Source organism: Homo sapiens, chromosome 9, assembly GCF_000001405.40.
Source record: "Homo sapiens chromosome 9, GRCh38.p14 Primary Assembly".
Taxonomy (NCBI): domain Eukaryota; kingdom Metazoa; phylum Chordata; class Mammalia; order Primates; family Hominidae; genus Homo; species Homo sapiens.
The window spans coordinates 6813577-6828610 of NC_000009.12; the positions used below are offsets into that span (position 1 = coordinate 6813577).

A 15034-nucleotide genomic window follows, 5' to 3' on the forward strand; every position below is an offset into this window, starting at 1 on the left:
CTAAATACCTTTTTAACTTTGCTTCATTATATTCTCATTTGTTTCTTTCTTTGCTTATTTTCTTCCTGAAGAAACATTGGTATTCCTTTTATGTGGTGAGATTATTGTTCAAATTCCTAATAATACAGAGAAGTAAGTGCTTTTCTGTAATTTCTATGTGAGAGATAACCATTAATAATTTGGTGTACATTTCTTTCTAATGACTTAATATACAATTACAGGTTTTTTAAACTGTAAATAGGATATAGTATACACACTATTATGTAACCTGATTTATTCACTGTGGATAGAATTTGATGTCAGTATCTTGAAAGAGCTATCTTGTTTTATATTCTGTATTTTTTTTAGCTAATTACTAGTTGATGGATATAAACTTGTATTTTCAATTAATGCTGCAGCAAACATCCTGGGTCAACTGTTATTGTACACATCTCTCTGTTGTTAGGGTGAATTTCTACTTTTAGATTTTGGGTCAGATATGTCAATTTTTAAAAAGCTTTTTATATGTTTAGAAAAATTATATGCTGGAATGGTTTTGCCAGCTTATATTCCCACTCTAGTTGTCTAAGAGGTGTCATTATTTTCTTGCCATTAATATATTCAGCATTTACCAATATAATAACTGCAAAATATCTTATTTTAACTTTACTTTCTTGGATTTTTAGTGAGATTATTGTTTGTCAGTGTTTCTCTAAGTGTTATGTCATTTTTATATAAATATGTAAAATTTCTTAGCATAGTATAGTTGATTAAAGATTTTAAAAATACTTTAAAGCTGAAATAATGACTTTTAAACTGCTTTTCTGCTTCTATTGTTGTTTTCGTGAAAGTAGTTTTCTAATAAAATGTAAAGTAATATTGAGTATTCAGCAATCTTAAGACTATTCAGATAGCTATGTAAATCAGTTTGTATGTTTACTTGTTAGAATTGACAACATGCAGTATTTTCGTTTTGGTAGGATTTTGTTTTAGAAAGTGATTTAAATCAATTTGGTGGGAAAAACCCTAAAACTGACTTACTGGTTTGTACATTTTTGTCATCTACCTTTTACAGATATTGTACTCCAAGATACTTGGATTACGAAGATTTGGAGCGCAAGTACTGGAAGAACTTAACTTTTGTGGCACCTATCTATGGTGCAGATATTAATGGGAGCATATATGATGAGGTACATTCATATTTACAGTGAGTTTTGTAAAGATCATTGGATGTGACAGTTTTGTTACCATTTAAGCAGTTTAGAAGTGTTCTTTTGTTGTGCTTTTGGGTGATCCATAATTCCTCAAAGGACAACAGGAAATATTCATCAGTAGGATTTCTGCTGCTGGTATTTTTCAAACTGAAGCTAGATAATCGTACAAATACCTGAAATTGTTCAGTAGTAACATGGTATGTGGTTATCTGGCTGATCTTTTCATTACATTAAAACTTTTTAAAGCAAAAATACATTATAAAAATGTTTGGAAAACAGGAAATATGATGCATCATACTGACACCTTAAAGCAGAAGCAGTATTTTAGATATATTTTTCCAGTACTTTCCCTCAATCATTAAAAAAATGTTATATTTGAACAGGCTTATATTGTCCTTTTTTTCACAGACAAATTGTAATATATATATATATTTTTAAAAAGTACATGTTATTACAGTCTAGCCATTTTAATGGTGGCGTAATTCATTGGTTATATTCTAATTCTTTTTGCCTTTTCCTGATATTTTAAAACCCTAATTCTAAAAGTTCTTTGTCTTTTGAAACCTTCTATGCCCTCTCTCATTATTTTCTTTTTTAATTTATTATTTCTTGAAATATTTATTTCAAAACATACAGGGTCTCAGTATATTGCCCTGGCTGGTCTTGAACTCCTGAGCTCAAGAGATCTAACTGCCTCGGCCTCCTAAAGTGCTGGGATTAGAGGTGTGAACCACCAGGCCTGGCCCATTATTTTCTTTCGAAAAATTTCTTATCTACTGAAAGGTGGAACTAGTGCAATACACACCTGGATACCATTCACTTAGGTTCACTAGTACAGGTTAAGCATCCTTCATCCAGAAATCCAAAATCTAAATGCTCCAGTGAGCATTTCCTTTGAGCATGACCTTTGAGCATCGTGTTGAAACTCAGAAAGTTTGGGATTTTGGAGCATTTTGGAAGGGATGCTCAACCTGTAAGTATAATGCAAATACTCCAAAATGGGGAAAAATCTGACATCTGAAATACCTCTGGGCCCAAGCATTATGGGTAAGGGATACTTGATCTATAGTTAATATTTTGCCACATTTGCTTAATGTTTCTTTGTGTCTCTTTATCTCTGTTTCTATCTGTCTGTCTTTCTGTCTTTGATGTATGATGCAGGCATCACGATAGTTCACCCTGAATTATATAAGCATGTATCTTTTAATGACAAGAGAGTTTAACATTTATATAATATTATCTAGTGTATAGACCATATTCAAATTTTCCCAGTAATGTTATAACTGTCCCCCCGCCCTCCTTTAAGGATTCAGTCAAGGATTCCCCTTTGTAACTAATAAGTGATCTATGGGGTATACTCAAATATTAGCTGACTATCTGTCCCCAACAGCCTTTCATTCAGTGGATTTGGCATCTATGGCATTCATTCATAATCCTTGCCTTAATTCCATTATTATATTATTTTAAAACCTTTTTTATTTTGAAATATAAAACAAGCTAGAAAGTGCATAGAACATAAACCTAGAGCTTTATGAATTATTGTAAAGTGAACACCTGTGTACCATTTCTGACACTGAGGAAAACATTACCAGCACCGTAGAATTCCCTTACCTGCCCTATTACCTACTATAGGCTCCCCTTTTCCTCCAAAGGTAACTAGATCTTCTGACTTGAAGGTAATCATTTTCTTCTTTTGTTTAACAGTACAGCTCAGTGTGGCCTGTTTCTGAATTTTATATAACTAGAATCATTCAGTGTGCATTCTTTTATGTCTGGCTTCTTATACTTCATACCTTATACCTTCTTATATACCTTATATATACATGGTTAGCTTTAGAAGAAAACATTTTTTCCAGCTTACACTTCCTATAGCAATGTTTTCAAGTTTCCTTTGCCCCACATCCTCCCTAACACTCGATATTGTCATTTCTTTAATTTTAGCCACTCTGTTGGTGTGTGTAGTCGTATCTTTTGGTTTTAAGTTGCATTATGATTTTTTCCCCTTATGTTCACTGAATGTTTGGATTTCCCCTTTAGTGAAGTCTCTTATACACTTCTTTTTTGTCATGCTTTTCTTTTTCTTTTTTTTTTGGCTTAAGTTCCCTTTTCTGTGGTTTTAGTGATTCTTACTGGTTTATACTTCTTTATATATCCTGCGTATGAGGTAGTAGCACAATTTCAAATATGAATTTTTAATTGCTGAACACTTATTTCAAAGACGATTCTTATTTTTGAAGATATATGATATTGTAGAATTGTCATATTGGATGGAATGATGGCTATGTAATTTTCTTAATTTATCAATTAAAGATGCATATTGAAGGATATATGATTGAAATAACACGAGGGTTGGGATTTGTTTTTCAGTTACTTAAGAAAATAAAGTTGAATGGATATAGATGAAAGAAGATTGGCCCCTCCCCCTGCCCCCCCCCCCACTTTTTTTTTTTTTGAGACAGTCTTGTTCTGTCACCCAGGTTGGCATGCAATGGCATGATCACGGCTCACTGCAGCCTTGACCTCCTGGGTTCAAGCAGTCTTCCTGCCTCCACCTCCTATGTAGCTGGGACTACCTGCAGGCGCCACCATGCCTAGCTAATTTTTAAAATGTTTTTTGTAAAGACAGGGTCTTCCTATGTTGCCCACGCTGGTCTCAAACTCCTGGGCTCAAGCGATCCTCCCTCTTCAGCTTCCCAAAGTGTTGGGATTACAGGTGTGAGCCACTGTGCCCAGCCCAGCAAAATATTTATAATTGAAGCTAGTTGACAGACTGGTGTTTTAAATACGTATATGTTTGAAATAGTAAAAATAAAAGTTAAAAAAATAGCCTTTCCTCATTCTGCATCTGAATTTTTACTAGTATAAGTAATCTCTATGTTGAGAATGTATTGTTTATTAAAGTAGTATATGTACATGTAGGAAAATGGAAAAATACAGAAAAACGTGAAGAAGAGAATAAAAAATTGCTCATAAGGTTATCAAACAGGAATAACCTTTTTTTTTTTTTTTTTTTTTGAGACAGAGTCTCACTCTGTAGCCCAGGCTGGAGTGCAGTGGCGCTATCTTGGCTCACTGCAACCTGTGACTCCTTGGTTTAAGCTATTCTCCTGCCACAGCCTCCCAAGTAGCTGGGATTACAGGCACGTGACACCATGCCCAGCGAATTTTTGTATTTTTAGTAGAGACGGGGTTTCACCATCTTGGCCAGGTTGGTCTCAATCTCCTGACCTTGTGATCTGCCTACCTCAGCCTTCCAAAGTGCTGGGATTACAGGTGTGAGCCACCGCACCCTGCCCAGGAATATCCTTTTTATGATTTCCTTTTGGTCTTTCTGTTTTATGTGAGTGTATGTATATATGCATGCCTGTGATTGCATGCGTGTTCATGTTTACCACCAAAGAGTTGAGAAGGTTTTTACAGTTTTTTGACTTTTGAAACATTTCCAATATTGCTTTCCAGAAGGATCATTTCAGTTTCTTTTAGCACAAGCCACATCTAGACTACCAATTTCAAATCGTACCTTGTATTACATGGTGGATTTTTGTTCGTTTCAGTTTCAAGTGTATTGTTTGCTGATTTATTCTTTAGCAATAATAAATTTCTTATGAGCTAAATGTAAGTTTAGCTGTTGTGGGCAAGTCATTAGATGTTGCCCATAGGCAGGGGCAAGTTATGCACATGTGTGATAAAGGTGAGGGCTCAGAGAGAGGCCAAGAGCAGGTTCTAGTGCTTAGAGCAATTGTCTGGGAAGGGTGTGGCAGCAAGTAGGACATGTAGGAAATTGATGGTGAGGGATGTGGGCAGATGGGAGTGGGCATATTGAAAACATTTGTGTGGGTCCCGTATCTTTATGCTCTTACCAGTAGGCTTCCTTAAGGAATGTGGCATCTTGCCTTGTTAAACCAGCTTCTGTGCGATTTCCATTGGAATGGGTGAGGCAGCTTAAGTACTGTTGGCCTTTTACACTTAACAAAACATGGGGCCCAGAGAGGGTCAAGTGCTTTTCCAAAGTTGGGAGGCTAGTAAAAGGGCCATGACACGCTCTTATCCCCCACACCAGTATTAGAGAAGTCATTATGCATAGTCAGTCTCATAGTTGTGGAAATATGTAAAACTAGGTCTTTGTCAACTAGATATTGCCCCTGAGCTGATGGGTATATTTTGTACTTTCTCCATAGTTTCTTCCTGTGCGTTGTAACCTGGCAAATGTTCAGGCTTCTGAGAAGAAGGTTGAGCTGATGGGTCATCCAGATCCTGGCCTGAAAGTTGCATGTCTGAGTGCTTGAAAATAAAATAAAACTCAATCTTAAGTTTTTTTTCTTTTAAGATAATTAACCTTTTTGTTCCCTTATTTTTGTATATATGATTAAGAGTTAGAAGCAGCATGTTTGGGAACATTTTCAGAAAAATTGATACAAAAATGTCCTGAATTAGCTGTATGTATTTGGTAGTGAAATAGCATAAGCATTGACTGTAAAGATGAGGTTGATGGACTTTGGTTTGCAGTGCTTATCAATTTACTGCTTGTGTTTGAAAGCCATTTACTCATTGGCATTTCTTCAAGGGAACATTGACTTTAGACTTCAGATTTGTGTAACTTTTGTTATTAAAATCCAATGAACAAAATCCACTGGTTTGTAAACACGCAGTTTTAAAACATCCTCATCGTTTACAGGTTTTAGAGCTGGGAATGTATCATTTTGGTAGGACCTACAAGGCAGTATTTTATAGAATTTCTGCAGGCTGTGTGGAAGCATTTAGCAGCTCCTGAGTTGGACTGACATTTTCATGCTTTTGTAGCATAAGGAAAGACATGAGAGGAGTGTTGTAAACTGCTTCTGGTAAACAAAACCAATCACACTCAAGACACCTAAATTCAACAAATGAGAAATAACTTGTATTTACCCGCCTTGAGGTAGACAAAGAATAACAAAAGAAAAGAGTGCATTAAAGGGCATGATGTAGAGTGAGTGTAATAATTGCTTACTGTCAGGAATGTTTGAATTCATTGTAATGAATGTGCATTTAAAAAGCCCATGGATTGTTTTGCTGTTGACTGTCTTATCTTTATATTGTTTAATTCTTTAGTTCAGTATTTAAATTGTACCAAGAACTGGTTTCTCGTGGTTCATGGCATTATTTTGAAACGAATTATAGAGTCATCAAATTGCAGTTTCCTTTTTCCTTGAATTTCTAGTGGTAGCTATTTACCTTAATCTTAAAAGAATGGTAAGAAAATCGTAGCCGTTTTTTGGTGGGGGTGGGAGTTCTTGGAGAGGGTATGGGGAGATAAGAGAAGTAATTTGTGCAAGGTGCAAAGATGGATACGAATCCTGCTTCTCAAGTAGTTCATAGACTTTGTGGGGTGGAGGGACAGTTGGTGCAGTGGGCTTGACTCTTTGCAGCCTGCGGGAGAGGCAGTATGAGCAGGCCTGCATTCAAGTAAGACTTTCTGGAGTGGGGACGACATCTGAACTTGGCTTTGATGACTAAGTTCCAGTGAAAGGAGAGAGAGTGAAAGGTGGGACCAGAGCTAGGTAAATTGAAGGGTGAGACCACACCTAACAGTGTCAGTATTTTTGCTGAAATTGCAGGTTGTTTGCTGAGCAGGAGCATAGGAGGGTGAGGAAAAACTCGAATAGCAGCTGTGGGATATGGGAGAGGGGCCTGAGACAGGGCTGTGGTCCTGGGTCGTGGATCTGACCCATGGCCCCACAGCAGCCCCACCTGCTTTGTTCCAGAGTCTGAATTTTGTCTCTTAGCCCCAGGCAAATCTTTTAAGGAGCAGAGAAGGTGCCATGGTAGTTTTCATCCAGCTGGGATATAGCATAGGAATTAGGGGTGAGGGTGTTTTTAAAGGACTAGATCAGAATAGTCATCCTCGACAGAAGAGGGAGAGGGCCTGGAAATCCCCTGGCTTGTGTCTTGATCTCTCTCTCTCTCTCTTTTTTTTTTTTTTTTTTTTGATAATACTTCAAGTTCTAGGATACATGTGCAACGTGCAGGTTTGATACATAGGTATACATGTGCCATGTTGGTTTGCTGCACCCATCAACTCATCATTCACAGTAGATATTTCTCCTAATGCTATCCCTCCCCCAGCCCCCCAACCCCCGACAGGCCCCAGTGTGTGATGTTCCCTGCCCTGTGTCCAAGTGATCTCATTGTTCAATTCCCACCTATGAGTAAGAACATGCATTGTTTGGTTTTCTGTCCTTGTGATAGTTTGCTGGTAATGATGGTTTATAGCTCCATCCATGTCCCTGCAAAGGACATGAACTCATCCTTTTTTATGGCTACATAGTATTCCATGGTGTATATGTGCCACATTTTCTTAATCCAGTCTATCATTGATGGACATTTGGGTTGGTTCCAAGTCTTTGCTGTTGTGAATAGTGCAGCAGTAAACATATGTGTGCATGTGTCTTTATAGTAGCATGATTTATAATCCTTTGGGTATATACCCAGTAATGAGATGGCTGGGTCAAATGATAATTCTAGTTCTAGATCCTTGAGGAATCACCACACTGTCTTCCACAGTGGTTGAACTAATTTACGCTCCCACCAACAGTGTAAAAGCGTTCCTATTTTTCCACATCCTCTCCAGCATCTGTTGTTTCCTGACTTTTTAATGATCACCATTCTAACTGGTGTGAGATGGTATCTCATTGTGGTTTTGATTTGCATTTTTCTGATGACCAGTGATGATGAGCATTTTTTCTTGTGTCTGTTGGCTGCATAGATGTCTTCTTTTGAGAAGCGCCTGTTCATATCCTTTGCCCACTTTTTGATGGGGTTGTTTGTTTTTTCCTTGTAAATTTGTTTGAGTTCTTTGTAGATTCTGGATATTAGCCCTTTGTCAGGTCTTAGCCTCTCTTTCATTCTTTTTTTTTTTGAGATGGAGTATGCTCTGTCATACAGGGTGGAGTGCAGTGGCGCGGTCTCAACCTTCACCCCCGGGTTCAAGCAGTTCTCCTGCCTTAGCCTCCCGAGTAGCTGGGATTACAGGTGCATGCCACCACACCTGTCTAATTTTTGTATTTTTAGCAGAGACCGTGATTCGCCATGTTGGCCAGACTGGTTTCTAACTCCTGGCCTCAAGTGATCTGCCTGTCTTGGCCTCCCAAAGTGCTGGGATTATAGGCGTGAGCTGCTGTGCCCGGCTGGCCCCTCTTTTATTCTGCTGCTGCTTTCAGAGCTTGATTTCCTTAGGTTATACTAAAAAATCTGAACACCATGGACAGTAACCTATGGCAACAGTAACACAACTTAAGCAAGTTATTATTTTTAAAACCAAAAAACCAAGACTCTCAAAGGCATGGGGCGAATCCAGCCTTTGGGTATATATTGAAGAGCAGGGTTTGGCTGTCAAGTTCTGCCTTTTGCTGGTTTTTGTAATAAAGCTTTCTTGGAGCCCAGTCTTTTTCATTTGCATATTATATATTTGTGCACTACCGTGGCAGAGGTGCTTTAGTTGTGACAGATTATATGGCCTTCAAAGCCTAATATATTTACTGTTTCTTTGCAGAAAATGTTTGTCAGCCCCTTATATGGAGGATAATTATTTGTTCTTGGGGAAGACTGTACAAATCCTTTTTGAGATAGATGGGATATAAATAAAATTGGAATGTTCTCAGGAGGATGAGATTAATATAATTGACTACATTGATTCATTGCAAGAAAGAAATTGGAGTGTTTGGTAATTTCAGGAACCTTCTGTAGTTAAAACAAGATCTTAGAAATAGAGCCATCTTTGGTCCTGAGTAAGTCCTAGATGATTCTTTGGAAACAGTACATACACATAAGGAACTTAAGATCTGGATTTTTTTTTGTTATGTTTCACTAAGGGCTGGTCTGCCGATGAAGTTTTAATTAGCCTTTGTTAACAAGCCTTTACATTAAAATACTCAGCCTTCTGTTAGACGCAGCACAGGAGTTTCTTCGGGAAACAAAACAAACACACAAAGATAAAGATAAAAGAGGGACTGAGAGAAAATAAGATTTGGCTAAAGGACCTGCAAGTCAGCAGATGTCTGTAGAAAAGACAGAAGGTATAACATTGCTGAGATGGCCAGTAGCCATGTACACCTGCATCGACCTTTGAAGGCAAAGCTACATCTCTTTTTTTCTGTGTGTGAGAGCTAAGAATAGACATCAGCATTACCTATGTTAGTACAGTGACAAAGGATCATCAGGTTTGTGTTCTGTCCTATTTTGGGCTGCATTTCTAGCAATACCTATTGTGTAGCATAATGATGATTCTTCTCGTGGTAATGCTTCATTAAATAGAGGTATAAAATGAAGTTCTACATGTTTTGCTCATGCTATTACCTTCATAATCTATAACCCTAGATGGACCTTCCAGTGTATTGTGTGTATTCAAGTCGTCTTTGCAAGATTTTCCCTTTGCTGAGCGGTGACACATAGCTCCTCCTCTCATCCTCATCTCTATTCTCCATCGTGCTGGCTTTCCAGTTTAAATGCCTCATAGCATAACATGCAGGTCAGTCTTCAGTGGCCCCTTGGAACCAATGTTTTGCACCAAAAGGGGGTAGCTTATCCTCACTGTCAGAGTACCCATGGAGCAATTTAGCCTTTGGATTCTGTAATAAACCTATGGGATAGCATTTCATAAAGACTGAGAATTTCCTGTGTGTGTAACCATCTTTGATGATAGTTTTCTGCAGGTCACTGGAGGAAGGTAGCCACACTTCACTGTGAGGGGATGGTGCCCTACCTGTCACCTTCAACTTCTGCTATCTCACACTGTTGTTGGATGTTTCAGACCATTTTGCACTTGCTTTGAAACTTAGCTCCTTCACTGAATCACGTTGCTCCTTCGTTGCTGCTGCCTCCAGATCTCCAAAGGTGTCCCCTACCCTCTCCTGTACCAGCCAGATAATCATTGGTCTCCTACCCTGAGAATGGCTATGAGTCCACTGCAAAAGGAATTTCTCTAGTTTTTCAAAATCTTGAGTCACATGGTGAAGCTCTTCAGGAGCAACTCTGCTATGTTGAAGAGATTGGGACATGTCAAGTTAATATCTGATGGGCCTCCTTCCTTCAGTACGCACCATCACTTCCAACTCTTCGTAGGCTTCTGTAGGTCTCATATGCTCACTTACTTTCTCCTCGGGTTTTTCTACTTTTTCAGGAGACATTTTCACTCATACTGATGGGAAGATGACAGCAGTAATGCCAATACACTTAATGTGGGCGCTAGAAATAATCCTTTTGGGAAAACATCTGAGATACAACTTAGCTGCAGACTATATTCTCTGACCTAGATTTGTATACAACTGAAACAGTTCTGTTGGTGGACACCATCATAGAGAGTCTTTGATTTGGACAGTGAATATTGGGTAAAAAAATTATTGTAGCAAATAGTTGGAAAATGATAACAGAGGATGAAGGTTACTTGTATTTGTTTTTGTGGTATTTCTTTTCGTGGCTATTTCTTCTGCAGTAGACTCTGAGTTCATTGGTGACAGGTGTCATTTCTCATGTATTCTCTAGCTCCAGTCTCTAGCATAGGGTCTGATGAGTGCATGGCATTGGAAAAATAGCTGTGAAAAATATTGTGATCTGATAACAGACTGCAGCAAGATGGTCTAGTTACAGCAAGAGGCTTGGGGAGGGCTTCGGATGAGAAGGGTGAAGAGGGTTCAGGTGAGCTTCCCCAGTGTGCATTTTTCTGAACTCTTTTACTCCAAGACAGTAGTTCTCAAACTTTCATCTTAAGGCCCTGTTACAATTGTAATAATTATTGTGAACCTCAAATAACTTTCATTTAAGGAGGTTATATCTATTGTTTTTTATTGTATTAGAAATTAAGGCCGGGCGTGGTGGCTCACGCAAGACTCCGTCTCAAAAAAAAAAAAAAATTAAGAGAATATTTAAAAAATATTTAATTCATTAAAACAGTCCATTATATATCAACATACATTATTTTATACAAGGTGACCATAGGGTAGAGAGGAGCAGACAGAAAAAGAAAAGGTGACTGTATTTCCCCAATTAAAAAATTAGTAGGAAGAGTCACATTATTTTACATTTTTCAAATCTCTTATGTCTAGCTCAATAGAAGATTGTGGCCAGGTACGGTGGCTCACACCCATAATCCCAGCACTTGGGGAGGCCGAGGCGGGTGGATCACCTGAGGTCAAGAGTTCGAGACCAGCCTGGCCAACATGGTGAAACCCCATCTCTACTAAAAATACAAAAAAATTAGCCGGGTGTGGTGACATGCACCTGTAGTCCCAGCTACCCGAGAGGCAGAGTCAAGAGAATTGCTCAAACCCAAGAGGCAGAGGTTGCAGTGAGCTGAGATAGTGCCATTGCACTCCAGCCTGGGCAACCAGAGTGAAACTCGGTCTCAAAAAAAAAAAAAAAAAAAAAAGATAGCTGGATTTTTATATCAGCTTCTACATTTAATCTGTTATAAAGTCATATGTCCTATAGCTTCTGGAAAACTCTATACTCATGAGAGTGAAAAAGGCAAATACTAATTAATGTTCTGGTATAATTTTGAAAATAGTTTTGATGTCACAGACCCTCTGACAAGGTCTGCGTGTCTTCCTGTGGTCCTCGGAAAACACCTTGACAACTGCTTCGGTAAGATACATAGCAAAAGATGACTTATCTATTGCACATAGATGATGCAGAGATCTTAGGGCAAGGTAACTGTGTTCTATCTTTATTTATTGGCCTTCAGGTAACTGCATTCCTGATATGTTTCTGAAAGAACGAATCACCTTCAGAGACAGTGATTCTCAAACTGGAAGCCATGGAGTTCTTTGGGGTACATCATGTCCTGTGTTTTGTCTTATAAACCAGGCAAAATTTTACAAGTGGACAGCATGTGAACTCATGTCTCTGCATCTCAAAATATAGAAAATATTTTAAATTGTACCTCCAAGATTTTTCTTCAATATTAATTTGCTGGCCTATTGCTTTTGTTATCTTCAGGTATTTATTAATGGAAAAGTGATAGAAAATTTAAAACAGTTTGAAAAATATTGTGGCAAATCTTTTTTTTATTTATTTCTCTGTCTCTCTTAAGACAAGGTCTCACTCCATTGCACAGCCTGCAGTGCAGTGTCACAATCACAGCTCACAGCAGCCTCCACCTCCCAGGCTCAGGTGATCCTTCCACCTCAGCCTACTGAGTAGCTGGGACTACGTGTGTGCGCCACCATGCCCAGCTAATTTTTTGTAGTTTTTGTAGAGACGGGATTTCACTATATTGCCCAGGCTGATCTCAAACTCCTGGCTTCAAGTGATCTTCCTGCCTCCGCCTCTCAAAGTTACGGGATTACTGGCATGAGCTACTGTGCCTGGCCTTGTGGAGAATCTTAATACAAAAAAATATAAATGTTTTATATATTTCTTCTTGAGCTGGGGAAAAGTTTTTTTTTTTTTGCTATGCTCGTACTAGGTGGATGGGTGGTTGGTGTCCTATTCTTTCCATTTTGTTTTTAGTTTTCTTGATAATCTATAAGTATAAATTACACCACTTTAAGGTAAAAGTTACCTTTTTGTTAATATAAACATTACATATGAAAAATATGGGAAGGTATTACATAGAGAAAATGAAAATCATTCATAATCCTGGCATTCAGAGAAAACAGCTGTCAAAACTGTTTTGTATATTTCCTTCCATTTTTTCTCTATGAATGCTCCATAATTGCATATAAAAAAAATTTTTGTGGTACAATGAACATAGTTTTATCCCCCTTCTGTTTGACCCATTGTGAATGCTTTCCCATGATGATAGATGTTCTTCAACAAGATGATTGAAAATTTATCTTATTTGGCCGGGCGCGGTGGCTTATGCCTGTGATCCCAGCACTTTGGGAGGCCAAGGTGGGTGGATCACCTGAGGTCAGCAGTTCAAGACCAGCCTGGTCAACATTGTGAAACCCTGTCTCTACTAAAAATACAAAAAATTAGCCAGGCATGGTGGCAGGGACCTGTAGTGCCAGCTATTGGGGAAGCTGAGGCAGGAGAATCGCTTGAACCTGGGAGGTAGAGGTTGCAATGAGCTGAGATCGCGCCACTGCACTCCAGCCTGGGCGACAGAGTGAAACTCCATCTCAAAAAAAAAAAAAAGAAAATGTATCTTATTTTTATTGTTTTTATTGGCAGGATGGTTTTCACAGGTAGAGGAAAGCAGATAAATCTAATATGAAGGATGTGGGTGGGTGGAGGCGGGAGAGTATGACAGCTCCTGATCTTGTGTTGGTCAGTGTGGGGCAGGGCACAGTCCACAGTGGGTGGCCAGATCGCTGCTAACCTGAGAGAGTGGCACCTTGCACAGACACCCACTGCCCCATTTTCTGCCATTCTTCTGCAGCTTCTTGAGATTGAAGACTTTATTAAACATCACAGAATATTTGACCTGTTTTCGTTTATAATCAATGTCTGCCATTCCTAGCTGTGACTTTCAGGAAAGCTCTGTGTTTTTCTCAGAGTCTTCATCTACAAGGGGAAGAAATTGAATTAACTGCTCTCTCTCGTTCCTTCCAGCTCAGAAATGTTTACTTTATGATAAGCAATATTTAAGATGAACTAAATTCAATGATAGTGAATTTTTGTCAGTTCCAGATTTCTCTTGTATTAGAATTTTGTCAAATCAAGAGCTCCTTTATAAGAAACCTGTTGGTGAGGCATGGGAATCTTTTCACACCAAGGTGTTAGACATAGTGGCATTTAACCTATAGACTTTTTTTCCCTCTCCCTCAATGGGGTAGCTTAAATACCTTCATCCAGCAGATGGTGCTCTTGGACAGCAAATTTATTTGAGGCTGTGGGTTTCCAAATGAGGTAAAACAGTTTAAACGGTTTGAGTCACCAGGAGAGTTCCTTTCCATTTTTTATTTTTATCATGTCAGGATATCATTTACTTTGAAATAACAAATCGTTCAAAGCCAGAACACTAACTGCCTAAATTTCACATCCAAGGCAAAGATGTCATCCTAGACAGGTTTTGACGCAGAGAGAGAGCTATTGGCTTGTAGGATTGTGACTTTCAGGTTTTAGTTCTGTGAAATAAGGCTTCTAGGTAATCACAGCTCATTTATCTGCTAGCATGTTATGGCTGCTCTTTAGTGAAGCAGGTCAGCTTGCATGACCCCAAAAGTTATCATCCAGACAGGGGAGGTGATGGACAGCTTTATTGGTCACATTGCATCCAGAATGTTTCCGTTAGTTCTAGAAGCTGTGTTTTCAGAGGGGTGTTGCCAGAGCAGCACAGCTGGGATGGTGCAGGAATTGTTGGAAGAGCAGTTAAAGCCCATGTGGTTGTTGCCCCTGAGAATGGTGCAAGTAGGAAGGTTAGGTGGGATCACTGTGGGAAAATTCAGTCTGTCTCTGGAATAAGTTTCTTTTTTTTTTTGAGACGGAGCCTCGCACTGTCGCCCAGGCTGGAGTGCAGTGGCGTGATCTCAGCTCACTGCAAGCTCCGCCTCCCAGGTTCAGGCCATTCTCCTGTCTCAGCCTCCCGAATAGCTGGGACTACAGGAGCCCACCACAACGCCCGGCTAATTTTTTGTATTTTTAGTAGAGACGGGGTTTCACCATGTCAGACAGGCTGGTCTCAATCTCCTGACCTTGTGATCTGCCTGCCTCGGCCTCCCAAAGTGCTGGGATTACAGGTGTGAGCCACCGTGCCCGGCCATCTCTGGAATAAGTTTCTAAGGAATACATCTGCCCCAGAGCAGGTTGGGCTGCCACTTGAGGTAAGGAAATACTGACCTTGGAATGTTCACGTAGAGACCGTCTGATCTTCTGTCAGACATAGTTTAAAAATTTGGGGTGGGGCCAGGTGCGGTGGCTCACGC

The 15034-nt window shown here is 39.1% G+C and overlaps 1 protein-coding gene across 21 annotated transcripts in view; it reads left to right on the forward strand.

The window, feature by feature from the left end:
• Positions 1 to 15034, forward strand: part of KDM4C (lysine demethylase 4C) — a 454786-nt gene that overhangs the window by 92714 nt on the left and 347038 nt on the right. For 18 of the 21 annotated variants that reach the window (NR_148680.3, NR_148679.3, NR_148677.3 and 15 more), the window contains one exon: positions 1055 to 1169. Coding sequence is in view for 9 of the 21 variants with exons in the window: in NM_001146696.2 (NP_001140168.1) it covers positions 1055 to 1169 (115 nt within the window). In the remaining 12 variants the exon portion in view is untranslated. Of the gene's footprint in view, positions 1 to 1054; positions 1574 to 11731; positions 11808 to 15034 lie in introns of those variants that run through there. The other 3 variants (NM_001304341.4, XM_047423028.1, XM_047423027.1) reach the window with 3 other exon arrangements.